The sequence below is a fragment of the Homo sapiens genome, chromosome 6 (assembly GCF_000001405.40).
Source record: "Homo sapiens chromosome 6, GRCh38.p14 Primary Assembly".
Lineage (NCBI taxonomy): Eukaryota > Metazoa > Chordata > Mammalia > Primates > Hominidae > Homo > Homo sapiens.
The window spans coordinates 70,145,700-70,168,420 of NC_000006.12; the positions used below are offsets into that span (position 1 = coordinate 70,145,700).

The window sequence follows — 22,721 nt, forward strand, 5'->3', positions numbered from 1 at the left end:
TCATCTATTCATCTTATTGTTTCTTTTTTTTTTTTTTTTGAGACAGGGTCTTAATCTGTCACCCAGGCTAGAGTGCAGTGGTACAATTATGGATCACTGCAGCCTCCACCTCCGGGATTCAAGTGATCCTCCCACCCCAGCCTCCTGAATAGTGGTGACAACAGGCACACACCACCAAGCCTGGCTGATTTTTATATTTTTTGTATAGATGGGGTTTCACCATGTTGTCCATGCTGGTCTTGAACTCCTGAGCTCAAGTGATCTACCCATCTCGGCCTCCCAAAGTGCTGGGATTACAGACATCTTACTCTATAAATCAGAGATAAAACCTCTTAAAAGTTTGATAAGCAAAGGGCTTTCTTCTGAAGAAAATATACATGCATACAACATTTTGCATATGATTTTGGAAGATTCCTAGGTCCCCTGAATCCTAGGCATGAATTCTGTAGAGATCTATGGATCCCAGTCAGGTACACTGGTTTTAAAACATAAACGTTCCTAGGGCAGTATTGTAAAACAGAAAAACTACCTGAAATTTCTCTTCCAGAGGTTTTGCAGATATCATCATGGTTTGTCATTTGCAGAAAATGTCTTTGTGACCCAGACTATTCCCAGGACATTGAAAACTGGACTGCCGGAAAATCTAAATAACCAATGTTTTTAAAATATGTTTTATATGCCTTTGTTTTTCATCTCCTTTGAACTTTTTATGTATTAAATAATAATAATATTTCTCAATATCAGGTGCCTCATTTTATAAATAAAAATATTTTATATTTTAAAGCAACTATACAAAATCTATAACATATTGAAATTTTTACTCCCCGTTCCTTATTCTTTTATAGAAAAAGATTTATTCAAGCAAGATGAAGAGTGATGAAACATATTTTAGTTATAACTTCTAATGTGTTTATAACTTTTCTAGAAGAAGATATGTATTCATACTTTTTTTCTTTTAGGGATTAGATGGAAATCCTGGAGCACCTGGTCCACGTGGGCCAAAGGTATACAAATATTATAGTTAATTTTTAAGGAATGAATAATTAACAAAATACAGCAGAAAAATGTATGTCTCTTGAGCCTTGCAGTAACAGAAGCCTTTCATTTCACAGGGTGAAAGAGGACTTCCAGGTGTTCACGGTTCCCCAGGGGACATAGGCCCACAAGGGATAGGAATTCCTGGCAGAACAGTAAGTGAAATTCATTCGAGTCCTTGTTGATTCCAACATTGTGAAACAAAATCCAGTGTCAAATTTTAACAAGGAGAAAAGAATAGAAAGGTCAGAGACGGAAATACAAATAAACACTATCCAGAGATGACTGATCAGCATTGAGGTTGTATCACTTAAGCACAGAGACAGTACCCACTGTTTGTTTATTAACTTACAGATGCTGGTCACACATACACTAAGTTTGGATTAGAAGCAGTCATTTAACCCTTATACCTCTATTCTATATATTAAAAAGCACAAATACATGTTTGTAAGATAGTAAGAATGCCTAATATTAGGTCAATATATATTACAGCTTGTTTTTAATTAAGTTAAAACAAGAAATTAATATTTAAACTGGATGGAGTATGCATAAGTGAAATGACACCAAAAAGGTCTGAGTAACGTCTTCAGAGTGAAGAGATGATGTTTTCAATGGTAAAAATAAATAATGAGAAGTTTTTAAAGTATTTAAACTATAAGGACAGAGCCTAGAACAGCCCCTATTAATAATGACCACTATATCCACACTTGTAGATCAAATAATAGTAAATGTACAATTTTTATTTACTATGGAAAGACATAAAACGTTTTTGAACAAGAAAAGTGGAAATAAATGGTTATTCTAATGACATTAATTTAGAAAATTGGTCTGTGTGGTGTAATACAAAAACAAACTAATTGTTTTCATATTATGCTCTTAACATTCAACATAAATACAATTCTGACACCAGCTGTGTGGGGTTTTTTTTCCCCTACTCATCAATTCCCCAATGGACATCAACTGAATGTTCTATTAGTCAATTCATGTCTGACACTATCTACCTGGATTAAGAGTCAGATCCCACAGGTTAAGGGCTCAGTCCCACAAAACTGACCCCTACTTCAGAGGCCAACTGCATATCTGGACCTTCATGACTTCTGTCCAACCAGCTATAAACTGGGAGCTTCCATGACCCCCACCTCAGGTTCTATAGTTTGCTAGAGTGGTCCACAGAATCAAGTAACGCTTTCTTACGTTTACTGGTTTATGATATCAGTAAAGGATATGATAAACGATACAGTTGAACAGTCAGAAGAGATACAAAGGGAGAGGTCTGGAAGGGTCCCTGAGTGTAGGAGCTTCAGTCCCCACGGAGTTGGGGTGTGTCACTCTCCTGGCACATGGGTGTTTTCGCCAGCCTGGAAGCTCTCTAAACTCCATATTTTGGGATTTTATAGAGGCTTCATCATGTCAGCAAGATTGATAATTAACTATATTTCCAGCCCCTCTCCCCTCTTCAGAGAACGCGGGGTGGGCTGAAAGGCAAGCTTCTAACTGTGGCTTGGTCTTTCTGGTGATCAGCTCCTATCCAGGAGCCCACCGAGAGTCACCTCATTGGAACAAAAGGCTCTCCTATCACCCAAGAAACCCAAGGGATTAGGAGCTCTGTGTCAGGAACCAGGGTCAAAAAACAAGTATTAGAACAGGACTTTATGTTAGCAACCTATTGTTAAGGAATTTACGAGGGTTTTAGGAGCTCTGTGCCAGGAACTGGGGGCAGAGAACACATATTATTTTATCACAATATCACATCCTTATATTGAAGTTATCATGAAAAGTTAAAAGAAAGCATAAGCAGTGAAGGGTTATGTTGTGAATGAGGGTTGTCTGATTTGCCAGGGCAAGAATGTAAAAGAACATTGGAGATGGAAATTAAGCCAAGTAAAAACTTGTATCAGAAAATTATTAGAGGCTGGGCCTGGTGGCTCACACCTGTAATCCCAGCACTTTGGGAGGCCAAGGCAGGTGGATCACTTGAGGTCAGGAGTTTGAGACCAGTCTGGCCAACACAGTGAAACCCCATCTCTGCTAAACATACAAAAATTAGCCAAACGTGGTGGTGGGTGCCTGTAATACCAGCTACTCAAGAGACTGAGGCAGGAGAATCGCTTGAACCCGGGAGGCGGAGGTTGCAGTGAGCTGAGATTGCACCACTGTACTTCAGCCTGGGTGACAGAGTGAGACTCCATCTAAAAAAAAAAAAAGAAAAGAAAATTATTAGGGAAGTGATGGTGGTTGAGGAAAAAATCACTCAGGGACACAGGATAAATAGGAAGGGAGGAAAAAGTAGCTTTGGCAAGAGCAGTGATATGAATATTTATTTATTTAAATAAGAAAAGAAAAATCAGTGAGCAGTTACTGAAGTCAACTGCTAAGAAACCAGCTCTTGACTTACTTAGGTGAACATTCCTCATGCAGAAGTTCATGGTTACCTAAGAGCGGTACAACTACCATCGTTAAGTTCCCTGATAATCTCCCAGCCTCATTTTATTTATCCGAAATTCTAATTTTCTAAAAGTAGAAAAAAAAATCATTGATTAGTGTTTTACCTCCTACTCCTGTCACTGAACACTGTTTCTGGTGATTTATTCCAAGAGATAAATGACTCAAAGTTGAAAGCAGAAAAGAATCCCTGAGCCAGTTACCCCTGTGGGTGGTCAGTTTCTGACAGGTGGAATTTGGATGCATTCTTTGTGCCCTCATGAATGTGCAGTGACAGATTATGGTAATGATATAGATGTCCCAAGTCCCTGAGCAAAATCATGTTGATGTTTCCAGCAACAGGTATCTGATTAAGTATTCACCTACGACCTGAAAGTCTTGGCCGACTTTGCAGTTTTCCACGTGTGTACGGTGGCAAACCCTGTTGTTCCTCTAAGTAAACTACAATGCTTAGTCTTTTATGTCACTTGGATAATTTATGGACATTCTTGGTGGAATTTTAATAATAAAATCTCATTTGTACTCAGGGCGCCCAAGGACCAGCTGGAGAGCCAGGTATTCAGGTAAGCTATTTAACTAATTTTTTAGCACAGCAAAGCCAGCTTGCTTACTTGGGGGAAATGACTGAAAGACCATCCTCATAAGTAACTGTTTTTATTTCCCTCCTTTTCCAGGGTCCTCGAGGTCTCCCTGGGTTGCCAGGAACTCCAGGGACTCCAGGGAATGATGTAAGGACTTTCTTTATCTACCCTCCCCCATTTTAATCTGCACCTGTGCCACGTGCAAAGATTGAACATGGATACCTCTGTTTTCAGGGAGTTCCAGGGAGAGATGGAAAGCCAGGCCTGCCAGGCCCCCCAGGTGACCCGGTATGTAGACAAACCTTGTCTGATTTATGTATCTTAAATGCACCCAGAAGCCAAACAGCCTACCAAGCAAGTTTTGCTGTCCAAACTAATTAGAATGCTCGGTGACTGCTTGGTGATTTTGTTTATCCCCATTATTTTGTCGAGTGAAAAAAAATTCAGGCTGGATCAGCATTTCTGTGTGTGTGATGAATACTTATTTCCTAAGGGCATAATTCAACTGTACAATTTTGCCCCAGGCTGAGCCTTGGCATATAATGTCTCAATCCCATTGAAAATTGAGATAAAATATATTGCCACGATTTCTATTTTTTCTAATGCTAGTGGCTAAATGAATTTCATTTTTCTAAATGAAATTTTGCAGGTAAGTTGCCTACAATATGGTATAGATCCATTGATTCTGTAGCTTTAAAATGTTGCGATGATTAAATTATGAAAACTGGCTTGAGTAGGCTCTTAGAAAAAGGGTTAGGCACAAATGTGTGTTTCAAAGTTTTATTTTAGGTTAAACCTTGCTTTGAGCAACAGTGAAACCCCTTTAAATAGCCTCAGACTCGGCAGTTATAATTTGAGAGGCCATATGGTACATGACATTGTATTAAGAGTCTTGTATAATAAAATCCAAATCTGGCTTCTCAGTTCTAAGCCTCACAAATCCTTTCTACCTCCCACAGTGTTTGGGCCTTATGTGCCTTTATAAGCTATGTGTGGAGGCATATTTTGGCATTACTTTAACGCCACTGTTGAGTGAATCACTTGTGCATTTTTCTGGGAATCTTGCAAAAATGTTACTTGGGTTTACACCGTGTCTCTCTGAAAGAACATCTCAAGACGTGTGGCCAAAAGGTAGCCCAAGTTCCTTCAGTGTTTGTCTTGCCTATCACTTAAGCCAACTGTAGGTTCTTTGAACTTCCATGAGAAATAACTTTAAGGCAAACTTATCTGGTACTTTTCATATTTCTCAACAGCCTGATAGTGTGTTCGCCAGAGGAATGATTTCCTTTTAATAAATAATTTATCTTTATGTATTATTTAAAACCAATGATATACCAGGGACAGCATAAAGGTTGCCATGAAAATATAAAATAGGGATGCACAGTCAAAACTATGATATGTGTGTTTGCACATTCAAGAGAGAAGAATAGTGAACATTTTTCAAAATTTGTTCTGAATTCTATCAGTGCCATGTGCACATTTCTTTATACGAAACATAATGTTAAGCCAGTGATTCTAAAGTGAGACACCAGAAGCTTCATGGCATTTTGAGGAAAAATGTCTACATTATACTGTATGTTTATATTGTATTGTGTTCATATATAAATGCATGTATTTGGTTTTATCTTCTTAACCACAGATTGCACTTCCTCTCTTGGGAGACATCGGTGCTTTGCTCAAGGTACTCTATTGCTATGTAAGAAATTATGTGTTAATTTCCAGGAAAAATTAGAAAGAAAAATATTTAGCAGAAATTGAGTCAATTGCTTAGCTGGAACTAAAATTCAATTTTTAAATGGCAGGACATCTTTAAGATAGGAAAATAAACATGTATCTTATATATCTTGTGCCATTTATCCTAATTCTTTCACTCTCTTCTTCTTTACCAGCCTCTCATTTTGGGTGGGGCAGGGGTGGAGGGCAGCTGGTAGGATAGTTATGAATTGGCTACAGGGAAGGAATTATGTCATTAGCACTCTGGAGTAGATTATTCTCTCCTCTGGAGGAACATCTTTCTCTTAATGGGTGTTGACTCACCCTGGCTCACTACTGTGAAACCTAATCTTTCTCGCTATATCTGGCCTGGTCAGTCCCAAGATGAAAATCAGTGCTGCTCTATAAATAGCCACTTACAAGGCTGAATTTTGATGTCATAGGATTTTACAAAATTCCACAGTTGACAAGTGCCCTAATACCTGTTACTCTGTTCAATAAAAATCACCTCTACCTATTATCGTCTCAGGGAATTAATCTTGCTACCTCTTTTTTTTTTTTATCTCTAACACTTCCCTGTATTTTATCAGTAAAACAGGTAGGGGGGGATGATAATGGCACATATGTAAGGGTATGTATTTGCATGTTTCTGCCTGATATGCTAAGATTGAGTGAGGCCACATGAAAATCAGGCCCTTGACTTCATACTCAAACACAGTGTGTTGTATCTGTCTTTGTATGAATGGACGTTGTGTATGTGTACACACACACACGCACACACACACAGACTACAGTTATATATATATAATTTAGTTTGTATTTCTAGCATTTAGCCCAGTGATTTACACAATTATTTGCACAATAGTAAGCAGGCAGAAATATTTGTTTAATTGAATTCAAAAGACTCGAGTTCCGGCATATACATTTGTAAGGTAGAGTTTTGAGAATAGATATATAAACATAAGTGTAAATATGAATATAAATATAAAAATATATTAAAGGAGTTTCTAAGACCTCCAAAACCAGCAGTTTTTATAAGCCAGAGAAGAATATTTGTGGGGATTTCAGGAAAATCTTATATTTATTGAGTTAAAATTACATGCCACTCAATATGCCACTTTACTTATATCATCTTATTTAATTTCCTTAATAATCTTATGAGTTCAGGCTGTTGCGCATTCCCACTCTATAGATGAGAGACCAGAAGTTCTCAGCAGTTAAGTAACTTTTTCAGTCATAGAGCAAGTAAATGTAACATTAACACAGGAACATAGGTCCTCAGACATTAAGTCCTAGATTCTTTACAAGACAGTGGTGCTGGAAATAGCAGGATTGCCGGAGTTATATCATTTCAGAATACTTAGGGTTCTTTAAGGATGAGAAACTTGTATGCTTTAGTAGAAATGAATATACTGGTAGAATATGGGATCTCACAGAACAGATAAAAGGACCATGAATAGGCTCTGACGGGAAGTGGAACCAGGGCTCTCAGAAGTGGAACTAATTGACAATCTCGCCCGGGAATCATCCCTCTAATGAGTGTGCTCTGCCATTGCACCAATCCCTGCATCATTTCACTAAGGTTCTGAGTCCATAACGAGCAGGACATCTTGACTGATAGTCTCCACAAACTGTATACAATAGAAGAAAGGGGAGGTATGTAGTTCCCCGAACAAAATCCAAATACAGGAATTTAGACTGTGGGTTGGATCTGTCATGCCAATGTAATAACATCATGTTAAATCCTGATCTTGTTACCCTATATGTTAACACTATCTCTCTCTGCCTTGAGTCTTTAGACAATTTGATCATCCTGCTTTCTGTTCGCAAAAATATCTTTGATTAAAGTATTAAAAAGAACTGGCATAATTACAGGCACCTTCAAAGGCCTTCTTCTAGATTAATCAGCATATCAATCCCTCTTTGAACGACTTTGTGTATTGGTTAATAATTGATGCATCTTTATTCTTTCCATGAGAAAATCTTAAGACATTTTTCCAAGAATGTTAACAAAACTCAGTTATTTAAATTTGCCATTCTGGTAACCCTAACCCAAAGAAAATGAAGTCAGTTTCAAATGACTCTTAAAAATTATGTTTATCATAATGATTATCATTTTTTAATGTTTCACTTAAACAGTCTATTGAATAATCTATTCTAAAATGTTGCTCCATATTGATATGCCAAGGTTTTGCTCCATATTGAGATGCCATGTTTGTGTCTGCAGATAATTATCTTTTTCATACTTTTTGAAATATGGAAATCATTTTGTTTTTCTTAAGTTCTCAAGTGTCTCTTTATCTTCATAGTTTTTCAGGTGTCAGTAATAGTTCTATAAATATATATATTTAACTCCCCTGCCAACACATTACCACCTGTGAAATAATCCAGGTGGTAAAATTCATCTGGGAAACATTGCATATAACCCTAGTTCCCTTTTATATATTCAGACTCTAAGAAAGACCACCATGAAGAGAGCTTTTTCACCCAGCATTTTTTTTATGTACTTTAAGTTCTGGGGTACATGTGCAGAACGTGCAGCTTTGTTACATAGTTATACACGTGCCATGGTGGTTTGCTGCACCCATCAACCCGTCATCTACATTAGGTATTTCTCCTAATGCTATCCCTCCCCTACCCCCCCCAACCCCCCACAGGCCCCAGTGTGTGATGTTCCCCTCCCTGTGTCCATGTGTTCTCATTGTTCAGCTCCCACTTATGAGTGAGAACATACGGTGTTTGGTTTTCTATTCTTGTCTTAGTTTGCTGAGAATGATGGTTTCCAGCTTCATCCATGTCCCTGCAAAGGACATGAACTCATCCTTTTTTATGGCTGCATAGTTTTCCATGGTGTATATGTGCCACATTTTCTTTATCCAGTCTATCATTGATGGGCTTTTGGGTTGGTTCCAAGTCTTTGCTGTTGTGAACAGTGCTGCAATAAACATACGTGTGCATGTGTCTTTATAGTAGAATGATTTATAATCCTTTGGGTATATACCCAGTAATGGGATTGCTGTAACCCAGCATTTTTGAGATGATTTGCCTCATGTATTCATCAGGGTTCTCTAGAGGGACAGAACTAATAGTATATATGTATATATGAAAGGAAGCTTATTAAGGAGAATTGACTCATGTGATTACAAGGTAAAGTCTGACAATAGGCTGTCTGCAAGTCGAAGAGCAAGGAAGCCAGTAGCAGATCAGTCCAAGTCTCAAAACCTCAAAAGTAGGGAAGCTGACAGCGCAGCCTTCAGTCTGTGGCCGAAGGCCTGAGAGCCCCTGGCAAACCACTAGTGTAAGTCTGAGAGTCCAAAGCTGAAGAATTTGGAGTCTTATGTTTGAGGGCAGGAAGCATCCAGCACAGGAGAAAGATGAAAGCCAGAAGACTCAGCAAGTCAACCCCTTCCACCTTCTGCCTGCTTTATTCTAGCCGAGCTGGCACCTGATTAGATGGTGCTCACCCAGATTGAGGGTAGGTCTGCCTCTCCCAGTCCACCAACTCAAATGTTAATCTCCTTTGGCAACACCCTCACAGATGCACCTGGGAACAATACTTTGCATCCTTCAATCCAATCAAGTTGACACTCAGTATTAACCATCACACCTTGTAAGCTTTTCAGTATCGTGCAAAATTAGTGTTCCAAGGAGCCCATGTTTGAAAATCAGATTTACATTGCTATTCATTAGGTCAAAAATATTGAATTTGAATAGCCATGGGCTTTCTTGCCAGCTTCTTATCAATAACAAGCTTCACTTCTTTTTCATGTTTAAAGATTCTTCCCTTTAGGGAAAAGGATGGAAGAATGGAAACTTAAGTTGTCCTACCTTCTGTCAACTGTTAAACTATCTCCCCCACTCAGTGGCCCTTATTCTGTGCCTTTCTTGGTCATATTCTTATTCCAACAATTTATTTAAAAATAAGCCTATATAGAGCTTTTCACACACACTTTCTTTAGCTGTGTGATGAGAGTTATGTTTATCTTATGAGCTCAGACACTTGAAGTCAAGCCTTCCCAGATCAACTAAAGGTTGCAGAGAAGGCAATGGAAAGGTCATTTCACTTAGATTTCCTATTGTCACTTGGATATGACCTAGGAGTCAAGTTTATGTCAGTCAAGTAATTATTTCTCTCGAGTGCCTCCACTGACAAAATGTTAGTAAACTGTATGTAGTTGGAGAACTAATTTTGCTCCCAGAAGAACAAATCCTTTCTTCACAATTTTTTCTGTTGTTTTTAAAATGGTTTATGCTATAGGTTGTTTGAATTCTGTAATCTTGCTGGGTTTTCTAAACTTTATTACCACTCCCTTTTAAAACATTCTGCTAAACAATTGAGCCTCAGTTTTTGTTCTTGACTTATGTGTCTTTTCCTTATTTATTTGGAATTTTCTATTTAAGTGTCATTGGAGACCTGTTTTAAAAATAAAAGTTCATCAATATCATAAACAGATATCACTGATGAGCTTTGTAAACAGTTTTTGCCTCACAAAAATTAATGTTTTTAAATTGGATACATCAAGTGTCTGAAAGCAGAATGACCTATCTATATCACTCATCTCCAGAGGTTCCAAAAAAACTTCACATCACATGAAACCTCACCTTTATAGACGGCTTTTATGACTCCCTCAGTAACCTTATCTTTATACTCATTAGAATTTCTGTGGCAACTGCCAAGCCAGTGTCCCAGGGCTGAAAAGCAACAAAGGAGAAGAAGGAGGTGCTGGTGAGCCTGGAAAGTATGATTCCATGGCCCGGAAGGTGAGAAGCCTGGCTGAATGTTTACGATCCCTGTGGGTTACATGTAGTGCATCCTCTCAGTTCTGTTCTTCCTCTGTCTTCTAGGGTGATATAGGGCCACGGGGTCCTCCAGGAATCCCAGGAAGAGAGGGACCAAAGGTAAGAAATTCTCTCCTCCACTTTCCCCTGTGGGAACCTCAATTTAGTATGAAAAAAAGAACCCGATTTGAAAATAGACAACTTTTAAAATACATACTATATATATATATGTATGTATGTATATGGAGAGAGAGAGAGAGAGAGAAAGTGATGTAAAAGTCACTTGCAAATGTTGCCATTTATTTGTTCCCTGACCCTGTCCAAATTACATGCCCCAAGTGTTCTTAGAAGAGATTTTTTTCATTTCCAAAAGATAAGAAAAATGATTGCATGTGCTAGCTGAATGTATTGTCTTTTTAGGGAAGCAAAGGAGAGCGGGGCTACCCTGGGATACCTGGGGAGAAAGGCGATGAGGTAACAGATTCTTTTCTGATTATATAGTCCTAATATTGATTCTCTTTACGTGGCTCAACAGAGTAAAAATGTTAATTTTTCTATAGCTCAGATCTGATGCTATAACCAATAAAAACAAAGACCACTTAGAGCTTTTAAAATGCTGACAGATTTTAAATAACATATTTATGTTTATTACCAAGGGTCCGGTTTTAGAGACAAGGAAATTAAGGCACAAAGTTAATATGTCAGTTATAATTTTTCTGTTTTCATTTAACAGATAATAATTCCAGCTCTCTCAAAATAAAAGTAAGGGAAAGGAGGAAGGGAAAATTTACTCAAAAGAATTCCAAGGTAGCTAAGAGATTTAAAGGAATAGTAGTTGGACAACCAGCCTAGCAGTAAGGGCAGCTCAAGAACCCAGCAGAGCTTCCCTGGGTACCACTAAACTCTGATTAAACTTCAGCAACCTTGGATTGTCTGTGTCTTTGCTCAGCTTTCAAATTCTTGGGAGAAAAAAAAACTGTCAGAAAAATCTTCTTGTTCTAGTTTACATCAGCTGCTCACCCGTTGGACTAAGGTTCCAAGTCCAATGTGCTTTTGAGATAATGGTATAATTTTCTGACTGTAAGCCATGGTGATGCTCAGGACATCATTTTTTTCTTACATAATTCACATTAACTCTTAGAAAAACCAATTAGAATGATGAATTGCTGTTAGTTTAAACAGTTTTGATACTACTAATTCTTAATGAAAGTAAGTAAGCCATCTGGCATATATTAACCTTGATGTTATTGTAGAAAATCATAACTATATAAAGAAAATCTATTTTTCTAGGTGGAGTTATATTTTACATTACCAGTAATCATCATGTACTATTGTTTCTAATTAATATTGCTTGTAATCTAGAAAACTTTGAGGTTTGATTTTTTCCCAAGTTAAAAATTGAATACCAAGTATATTCAATATTTATTTTCATCCATAAATAAAACATTATCTTCAAAATAAGTTATTGTGCTTTTGCTTCCTCATGTTCCACAGAAGGTTTTACTAAAGTACAAGCACAATAACTGATTTTCATAGTCCAACAGCTTTGAACTACCTCCACCCAAAAGGTAGGCTTTAGAGGCAATTGAGAAGGTAATAACAAAAAGATCAGGAAATAATTGGAATTCAGGTTTTGTATAAGTAACTCTAAGTTAAAGTCACTAGAAGTTAATTTTCATTGATTCTACAGGGCACTTTTCTCTCTTGGTGAACTGAAATCCATTGCTAATATTCCTCCACACTTTAGCGGGCTTTTTCTTCGGTACCCCTCATAAATTCTGTAACACAGTTCACAAAATTGTACACAATTCTCATTACATGGGGAGTTCCAGCAAGTTCAGGAGATTCTTTTCCATTGTTTCTTCACACTACGTGAATAATATGAATAAATCTGAAGTAAACTATTGACTCCTTTAGGCCTTGTAGGGGGAATAAGGTGGTGCAGCTTTTTCTTTAGCAGATGGGAAATAACGGATATAATCTTGTCTTCTACTTGGTCTCAGATATTATTTGAAATTACAATTTGTTGATTTGTCAAAGTGAATAAAACTTTGACCAAAAACAAGTGCATTTCCAACTGGCCAATGAACTATACCATTTCAACATACAGTATGGACTTGAGATCTAATCTTATGAAATCTCAAATGTCTATTGTACTCTAAGTGGAAAAGATACAGAGGGACACCCCATCTCTTTGAGACTTCTAATTATTATGTCTTTCATCTGTTTGGAAAATGAGAGAGAGGAGTTGCCTGCTTGTTTGTTACTCTTAGAAAAGCAACATTTTCTTCCACATTTTTCACAGACGTTGTTGCACAGCTCAAGGTAGCAACTTGGAAGATGCTAATAGAACACATGCTAACCTTTGATGGAGTGATTTCTTGCTTGAAATGCAGGTCTTCCTATAATATCTTGGGATAATAATTGATAAATTAGACATGAAAAATATCATCAGCCAGATATTATAGCAACAGAAAATATTCTTGGTAGCAACTGGGCTAGGATTTGCAAAATGAAATATCAGAGCAGGGTAAGAACATAGCTCCAATGGTCTCCAAATATCTCTGCAATAAATTTTAATTTGTATTTTAGTTTGGCACTGTATGTTAAATTGACTGTCCTACTCTTTAATATGTATTTGTCTTCTTTAATGATCATCTTGTCTTCTAAAATTATCTTATTGCCCTTTATGCATCCATAGTAACTTTCACTTTTACTACAGAATTTCAGCTTTTTCAGAGAAAGGCTGATGGGAATGATTTTTTATTTATGGACTGAGGTTTATTTTAAAGTTTAATGTGGTCATCAAAGGTTAATGAATCCCAAGCTTATAAATTAGACTATCTAAAAACTCACTCAACATCTCTGGACTGATTCAGTGTTGAGACTAAAAGTAGCAAAAAAAAAAAAGGAATACATATATACGTATATTTTATGCATGTACATATAGAAAGAATTTTATGGAAATATGGGTATTTTGAGGTAAAGAAATTTATGGTATAACATTTATAATCTCCAGTCATTTAGAGGTGCCATTATCAATGAAAATTTTTTTACTTTGCATCTATAAACCTGCATACAAGTTAATGTTAGGGGAATAAAAAGAATGAGTACCACATACCGATATGTAGAGCCTGCACATGCACACATGCCCATGTATACACACATACACATACACACACACACACACACAGCACTGCCAATGAGATTGATAAAATTTTGAAGAAAAATATGTCAACATTCTTTAACACCAATACACACAAGATTTGGCCCAAGACTTATGAGGAATTCTAGCATGTTCAAGTAGAATTTTTAAGCCCTTCTTCATATCATATCACATGAATAGACCTGAAGTAACACATGATGCCATTTGGCATTGAATGGACAAACCTAGAAGAACTTGGTCCTTGATCCCACTGATGCAAAGAAACTTGATCCAGCTCACAGTCCTATAGAATGCTGATAATCAATATGCAGTAATGTTTCCATGGCCACATCATCTAATATTTATAAAGTATATGAAAATGCATATATCATAATAGTAAAAGGTAAAGGAATTGTATGATGACAAAGAATGGTATGGCAATCCAGAAAGAATATTTTACTCAGTAAAGGAGACTAAATCCTGAAAGAATGGAATCATTCAGTCTAGAACTTGATGTATCACATGGTTATCTGAAATAACAAAAGCATATTTTAAAATAGTTTTTTCTCATAATAGAAGTGATCTCAGTCCACTATTGAAAATTGGGAAAATACAAAAATGCACTAAAAGATAAAATTTCTCCCTATTCCCACTACCCAGGAGGGACTTCTGGCAATAGTAATGTCATGGTCCACAACTCTATTAGTCCATTTTCACACTGCTATAAAGAACTTTCCTGAGACTGGGTAATTTATAAAAGAAAGAGGTTTAATTGACCCACAGCTCCACGTGGCTGGGGAGGCCTCAGGAAACTTACAATCATGACAGAAGGTGAAGAGGAGGCAAGCACCTTTACGAGGCAGCAGGAGAGAGAGCAAAGGAGGAACTTCCAAACACTTACAAAACCATCAGATCTCCTGAGAACTTACTCACTATCATGAGAACAGCATGGGGAAAACCACCCCCATGATCCAATCACCTCCCTCCCTCTACATGTGGGGATTACAGTTTGAGATGAGATTTGGGTAGAGACTCAGAGCCAAATCATATCAACAACACCTCATCTATAAATTCCAAAACCAAAGCCTCTGAAAACCCTGGAAATGTTTCCCAAGTTTGGCTTTGTTTCCCAAGCAAATTCATTTGGCAGCCCAATCTGGCCTAACTCACACGGAGCTTGTCTATTCCACTCTGTCAGAATATCATGTTTTGCCACAGAAATATTTGTGTGTTTATTAGAGGGCACTGCCTCAGGCACCACTGCAGTGTGATATAATATTCAGTATGTATATCATGTTACCTGTGAAATGAAGTGATAATCCAGAATTCTAAAACACATCTAACACTAAAGTTTCTGATAAAACTTATCTATTTGTCGTGATAAAATAATAAAAGCCTGTATGTATCATTCCCATCTTTTAGGAAGTACATTTAAAATTGTTTAAAAATTTAGACCCTGTGCTATATAAGATTTGTGACTTTATTTTTACATGTTTTCTAACTTTTTTAAAACATGATTTTAATAATTGCAAAATATTTCATGTTATAAATTGTATGTAATTTATCTAACAATATTCTGTTGTTGGCAAATGTATCAAAGTAACAAAACTAATTACATAAGTTAGCTAATCTTACCATTTCTTCCTTGATATATAAATGTATCAGCATCTTAAATCCTATCCGGTATAATTAGTGCTATTCTACAAATCTAAGGAGGGGAGGGAGGGGAAATCTATTCATTATTATGCTTAAGCCATTAAAGCGTTCCAAATTTAAATTCACCAGTGAGCCAAATTTCTTCTTATAATAAACTGACAAGCTAAAATAAATATTATATCATAAAACATATTCCATTTTTCCCTAGCTGAATGGAGCTTAAGTGTAATCATCTATTTCTTCAATGGCATTCTGCCAATCTAAAATTTGTATTTCCATGTTTTACCAGTACGAGATTCTTAGATACTACTGCTGACGGAGTGGCCCTATAAAATAAGAAATGCTCTATGAATCACCAGATTAAATTATGTTTGCTTCAGATTCCATGTCATGGCATTTTAGCTCACCCTTCTTACTCTTTAAAACTGAGTATTCACACATATTCTTACTTATAAGTGAGGGCTAAGCTATGAGTACGCAAAAGCATACAGAGTGATATAATGGACGTTGGAGGCCCAGAAGTGAGGAGTATAGGCGAGGTGTGAAGGATGAAAAACTACCTATTGGGTACAGTGTACACTACTTGGGTGATGGGTGCACTAAAATCGCAGACTTCACCATTATACAATTTATCCACATAACCGAAAATCACTTGCACCCCTAAAGAAAAATTTTTATTTTTGAAATTAAAAAATTAGAATTAAAAAAGTATATTTGTATATGACAAACATTATGTTTCTCGATTAGCTAAATAAGTGTTTAATGTTCAATGGTCAAAATATTTGATTAACTAAAATGCCTTCTTCCCAATGATATAACAGATTTTATGATGGGAACTATCTTTTCCAGGGTCTTCAAGGAATTCCAGGCATTCCAGGTGCTCCAGGCCCGACTGGACCCCCTGTAAGTATTTGTTAAAACGATTGCACTCACAGCTTATATCTGCTGGTTTGATGCAAGGTGAATTAATTTTCTTCATTGCCTTTTGTTCTCTGTGCCTCTATGTAGATTGTCCAGATATTGCCTGGAAAAGTAGCCTCATCCAAGCTCTCAGATTTTCATTTAGTATTACTTAAGGCTACTCAGTGTCCTGGGGACTTGCCTCAGAATTCCACCAGACCAGAAAGCAGTCTGCGATTAAGCTAGTGTGTTTGAAATAGAAATTGCATATAAAAGAGCATTCTATTTTTTATTTATAATTTTTTGGCACTAACCTTTAGAAGAGATAGTCAAATGGCACCACAAACTGAGAATTTATTTTCTAAAGGAAAAAAAAGTGTGCTAAGGATTATCAGATTTCATTTATTTTTGTTCCTATGTATAAAATAAAATACCTCTATTTTAGTCAAGGCTTTCACTGCCCCTCAAACACACCATCAAAGCCTTCGTGTCTTTCACTGTCTTGTTTTCCTAGAACAGAATCTCTTTTGCTTTATACTTGCCAAACCCAATCTCTCATTCAAACAGTTTAATTCTAGAGTCATCAGATAAAATATAGTGCATGCAGTTAAATTTGAATTTCAGATAAACAAATAATTGTTTAATATAAGTTCATCCCAAATATTGTGTTTTTATTTGCTAAATCTGGCAACCCAGCACATGCTTCAACTTCTCCACCTCATCCTTTCTTAGAGTTCCTATGCCAATAGAGTCTTTACCACACCAGTAGGAATGTAATTATATATTTTAATGTTCTGAAATAAGGATTTTCCATAATTAAAGTTGTGTCATTTATGCTTCCGCCACAGTTATACAGAACAAACCTGGCTTTAAATTGTTCACTAAAATTAAAAACGATGAAAAAGAGTTGTGAAAGAAACCATGAAAATTATAGCTAACTCTGTTCCCAAAGGATTAAAATTAAATTTTATTTTTCAGTGGTAAAATGCAGATCATAGAACTCAATATGCACACTGTTAATTCTGCCGCCTTGAAGTATTTAAAATGTTGATCCCTACCAAAACTATAGCTCATTTAGAAAGGCATAATGTTATGTAAATTGCCATTTAAACAGCAAGACTAGATTCTTAAGTGTATCAAAAGGTTCCAATTAAGGTCATTAAATGTGGTTGACGAAGGTGAAAAAGCGACCACAAATACAAATTTTACCCTTCCAAGGGCTTATCAGCAGGATACAGCTGCTGTATCAGCCAGAAGAAACATAAGCTTCTAGGGCTTATTTAATTAGGATCAAATGACCTTCAAAATGTGTAAGTTTTAGTAACCAACTTCCAATACCCTTTGGCCATTTAATTGTTGTTTCTGTAACAAACTTAGTTTTGTGTTTTACAGGGCTTAATGGGAAGAACTGGACATCCTGGTCCCACAGGAGCAAAAGGTGAAAAGGTACAAAGGAAAAGCCTCACTTACCATCCAAACTGGGGCTTGGAGTGGGAGCAGGATGAGACTCTTCACAGAGAGAGCCATAAAATCAAGCAAAGCCTAAAAGTAGAAATGATGGTAGAAAGTACCTATTCTTGTAGTGGATTTGGAAGAACACAGGTCCAAAGGTTATTCTAAACACGGGAGATATTTTCCTAGGAGAAAGGATAAATAGAATATTGGTTCCATAAAACAAAAGTTCAGGCTGGATTCAGAATCCTGGGCAACCATCTATGTGGAAGGATTGGGTGGGGGAGCCTCCTGGAAGGATGCAAGTAATGTGGTGTCTACCAGGGAGTTCCAGCCACAGGGGCTGTCAGTTTTCTATGACAAAATACCATAGACGGAGTGGCTTATAAACAACAAACATTTATGCATATTTCTCTCAGTTCTGGAGTGTGGGAAGTCCAAGATCAAGGTGCTGGCAGAATCGGTGTCTGACAGAGTCTGCCTTCTTGTTCATAGATGTCACCTACTAGCTGTGTCCTCACATAGTAGAAGGGTGACCAAGCTCCCTTGGGCCTCCTTTATAAGGGCACTAATCCTATTCATGAAGGCTCCACCCTCATGACCTAATCACCTCCCAAAGGCCCCACCTCCAAAAGCTCCAGACAGCAGACTGGCTCTCAGGACCAAGATTCTGGTAACCAAAGAGCTTGCAGAGACAGTCGAGAAGTTCTGTCCCTAGACGGTCATGGGGGAAATTTACTGAAGAACCAGGATAGCTTGTTTCCTGGGGAGATCAGTTATTGGACAGATGGGTTGCCATGGTCAGAAAGGAGGACCAGCATTAGATGAGTCTCAGACAGGACACCACACAGTTTTACATGTTTACCCCATTTAAGATCTAAACTGGCTCTATTGTACTAGTCCAGGCAGATCCAGCAAGTAAGTGGAATAAGCCTAGCTATTTAGATCGGGGAAGTAAGAATCAAGAGTCCACATGAGCCACTCAAGCAGCTTCCACCCACTCGTCAGGACACAAGTTCCCTGACCAACGTGGAACATAATGACATCAAGGAGCAAAGGAATCCCAACACATTTTGAAGGAAACAATGACTTTATTCTAGATAGTCTCTGCACATTTTTTTCTGATTTTATCCCAAGGAGCTTGCCCAACCCCACTAGCCTTTTTTCTCTGTTCTCTATGGAAATTATTCAGTCATAGACTTGCCTTTGAAGTTAATGGGAATTCCACACTGAGATGAGCTTTGGGGCACAAATGAGAGTGAATATATGACTTTTAATTGTGCCGGGGGAAAAAAAAGACTTTTCAGTAGGCACATATTTTTCCTTGTTTGTTGACTCATTAGAACTATGACATAATTCTTTGAAGGACACTGCCAGTTGTCAGCAGAATGTGACATGTCTTAGAGAGATAGCCACATCAAAGCAGTTTGGGAAAAGAAACAATATGCTTGTTCTTTGTTATATATTCTCAGGCAGAAGCATTGCAAGAAAAACTTTACAGTTTATTTTTATTGATAAACATGAACAAAAGATTTTATGATACTTTCGTTACAAAAAATGGCAGGGTATTGGAATGAAGTCCTTGATTACATTTATGGGAATGGACTAAAATCCCTCAAAATTCTTGGACATTGTGAGTAGAAATTTTACTCTATCTGAATTCTTTTTTAATTAACCATGTCTTGCCATTTCCCCTGCTATAGAGGGACTTAAGAGATTTTATGAGGCTATTATTCTGAGAGAAAAGCAGAGTTATAGGAAGAACTGCTGAGAGACACCAGAGGGACTTCAATAGCTCTGCTTATTATGGACCGATAAACATCTATGGTTTATAAAAATAGAAGTGAAATACATTTTTCAACTTTCAACTTGAATTCATTTTCACAAATTCTATTTTCAGTCTGCTTCTCCTGTAAGTCTAAGACTGTTTAAATTGTAGTGACTATTTGCTTTAAACAGTACTATACCACAGTTGCTTCTGCTCAGGAAGATGTGTCTGACTTGGGTGTAAAGTCAGATATTAACGTAGGAAATGGAAGATGAAGTTTCCCTCCTGCAGACACAACACAGGTTGTGATTTTTTTACTTTCGTCAAATTATGTGGATGTCCCCTCTGGTTCCCAAAAGATGAAGGTGGTAGAAATGAGGCTCAAAGTGAAGGCTGACTCAGAGCCACAATCCCAGAGCCCACTGCCTGCTTGTAGGAGAGTTCCACATTGGGAGAGTTCCTCCAGCTGCACTGGAAGTCCAGGACATGAGCACCTGGGTTGTCTGGCTCCATCTAAAAATAAGCTTCGTTTCTAGAGCTCACACAGTGAGAGTCAGAATGGGTATGGGAAAAGACCTTTACCTGTCCTGCGGTCTAGAAATGTATTTCCTGGGTAAAGGAGAGCCCAGCTGAATAAGACTACAAGGCTGAAACAACATGGCAAGTCATATCGATTTCAGAAGATGGCTCTGTGATTAATTTCAGAAGATAGTTTGTAAACCTGGGGTAGAAACGTCTACGCCGCTGATATGTCTATATATCCCTTGCAGGGCAGCGACGGACCCCCTGGGAAACCCGGACCACCTGGACCACCTGTGAGTTGTTCTAGGCTTAAAATTTAAAATTCATGTGTTTACTTAAGACTTTTATAACTCAGAGGTAAGACTACATTTAGATGTTTTCAAAGATAAAATTCTTCTGAATTTCGTGTATAAATATAAATGATAGCCAATGTAGCTTTAAAGAGACCTGATTTGTTCTCCTTTTGGTTCAGCCTCAATGTGCAATGCTCAGATTGGCATACTGCGGGTCTCCCCATCTTGGATTTAGGAATCTGGGTTTGTGCTCCGACTCTCCACTTCCTGGCTCGGGGCCCCTGGGAAAGTCATTTAACCTTAATGTGCTTCATTCACAGAAAGGAGAAGGGCCAGAAAAATAGATCCTTTCCGCTGATGCGAGTTGGTAGAAAATCGGATATTATGCTATATGTGTTCATTCCCATTCATGATGTCTGAGATGCAAGGAAACTCTATTTATGTAGCTCTTAGTGAACAAAAAGTACAAGAGGCATCGATGTTTTCATTATTGTGATTGAGACAGATGCACGCTCCGTCAGGGAAACGGTGGAGAGGAGAGGAGCCTCTCTCCGTGGCAAGTCTGCCCTCATGTGGGGCCACGCTCGAATCGCAGCCGAGCCGAGCTGAGATATCACGCAAAACACCCTTTTCTACCCCACCTCACAGGAATACTTTAAGAAACCAAACTCACCATAGAAAGGGCAGAATTGACCGTGACTTTCCGAAGACAATGAGGATTATTATCAGTCTGCGTGCAGTTGCATGCTTTGTACACGTAAATGAAGAGATTAGCACTCTATTTCCTAAACTTGTTTCCTAAATCTGTTCATCTGTGTTACTGACCTTTTCCCTTGACAAGAAAGCAGGACGGAAAGTATTAGGGTTCAAATCCTAAAATTCACTCCTTCCCCCGTGGGCAGAACAGCAAATATAACATGAGTTCATGAAAGGGACCTATAATTTTATAATGCACTTAAGATGTCTTTGTCTTCCCTCTGAATTCTCCAAAACCATCCATCCTTCAAAACACAGTTTAAATGTTTTCTTCCCTGGGAAACCTCCTTTGGAAATCTCAGATGAAAATATCCTTTGTCTCTCCAGGACGTAGCACACTAAAATATGGCAGACATTCAGTCGCTGTCAGATAAATGAGTTAAATAATAGAGTAATAAATGGATGGAGCGTTTGTCTTCCATCACTAGTGTTTGGAAGATGCATGCAAATTGTCTTCACAGAACACTACTGGCCACCATCATACAGAAACAATGAAACAGTGACTTCTTCAACTCTGCAACTGATATGTGAAAACTGCAGAAAGGAAAAGGCAGATTTGACTATTGATTCTATACAAATGTTTAAAAAGAAAGACAAAAGATTCTAACTAAAATTTTTATATGGAAATTTTTCCTAAATGCTAAAATGTATGATTTTTTTAAACTATAGAATAAGTTCTCCTTTAAGTGTTGGTTACTCTAGGACATGTCAATTTTTTTCAAGATGTTCTTATTCTCTTTTATCCTAAAGAATTTATTTTTGTAGAAACATCCACACAGGGTTGTGGATAATGTCATCTCCCCATTTACCTTAATTTTCTATTTGGTATGAAAAGACTGTGGAAAAAAATTACTTTTCAGTAGCCAAATTGTTCCCTATTCACATCTTCATCAGCACTATGGCATTATAGCCTGCAGGTTAGCAGGCTGTAAACAGTTAGTATAAATTGACAATTCAGAAACTGAATTTTAATGAGCAAATATTTTCCTCCAAATGCATTAGTGTCTCATCTGTCAAACCTGAACATTAATTAAACCCCAACTGAAAGTATCCGTGTGCTTCAGGTGTAGCTCACACTCCCTTTTCATTTCCCTGCATTTGCTTTGGAAAAGCTAAAAATTAAAATGTATTATTTTACTTAGAGTATTAAATTCCCTTTGTAAAATAGAATAGAAAAAAGTAAAAAATAGAATAGGAATAGTATCATTTGGTAAAATGATAAAATGTAGAGATGCAAAGTATTAACTTCCAAGAATAATTCTGTATCTCACCTCTTTCCTAAGGGTATTCCATTTAATGAACGAAACGGCATGAGCAGTTTATATAAAATTAAGGTATTTATATTTGTAATTATTTAAAATCCAGTTATAGACTGCTGTAAATTCGTCTCATCTTTCTCTTTTTCTTTTCTTTTCATTTTCTTTTGAAGGGAGGTGTGAATGTTCCCAGTTACCCAGGGCCACCCGGTCCTCCTGTAAGTACAGTTGTTTATCATCAAACACACTTTAGCTGAACAACCACAATGAAAAACAAACAATAAAAACCTCTTAAGTTCACTGAAAAACGCATGTTATGAATACAGCCAAATTTTACAGCAGAAGGAAATAAGTAAAACCAATTATAATAAAATTGAGAAAATGTATGCAGCCAAAATAATGGAAAACAGCATTTTTCATGGT

At 37.3% G+C, this 22,721-nt stretch overlaps 1 protein-coding gene across 8 annotated transcripts in view; it reads left to right on the plus strand.

Annotated features, from left to right (window-relative positions):
* The window catches only part of COL19A1 (collagen type XIX alpha 1 chain), a 345,913-nt gene that overhangs the window by 279,144 nt on the left and 44,048 nt on the right, over positions 1-22,721 (plus strand). For all 8 annotated transcript variants that reach the window (NM_001858.6, XM_047418188.1, XM_011535437.3 and 5 more), the window contains 14 exons: positions 960-1,004; positions 1,113-1,190; positions 4,005-4,040; positions 4,152-4,205; positions 4,293-4,346; positions 5,698-5,739; positions 10,428-10,532; positions 10,617-10,670; positions 10,971-11,024; positions 16,201-16,254; positions 17,644-17,697; positions 20,242-20,286; positions 22,326-22,376; positions 22,472-22,516. In NM_001858.6, coding sequence (NP_001849.2) covers positions 960-1,004; positions 1,113-1,190; positions 4,005-4,040; positions 4,152-4,205; positions 4,293-4,346; positions 5,698-5,739; positions 10,428-10,532; positions 10,617-10,670; positions 10,971-11,024; positions 16,201-16,254; positions 17,644-17,697; positions 20,242-20,286; positions 22,326-22,376; positions 22,472-22,516 — 771 coding nt within the window. The remainder of the gene's footprint in view (positions 1-959; positions 1,005-1,112; positions 1,191-4,004; positions 4,041-4,151; positions 4,206-4,292; positions 4,347-5,697; positions 5,740-10,427; positions 10,533-10,616; positions 10,671-10,970; positions 11,025-16,200; positions 16,255-17,643; positions 17,698-20,241; positions 20,287-22,325; positions 22,377-22,471; positions 22,517-22,721) is intronic.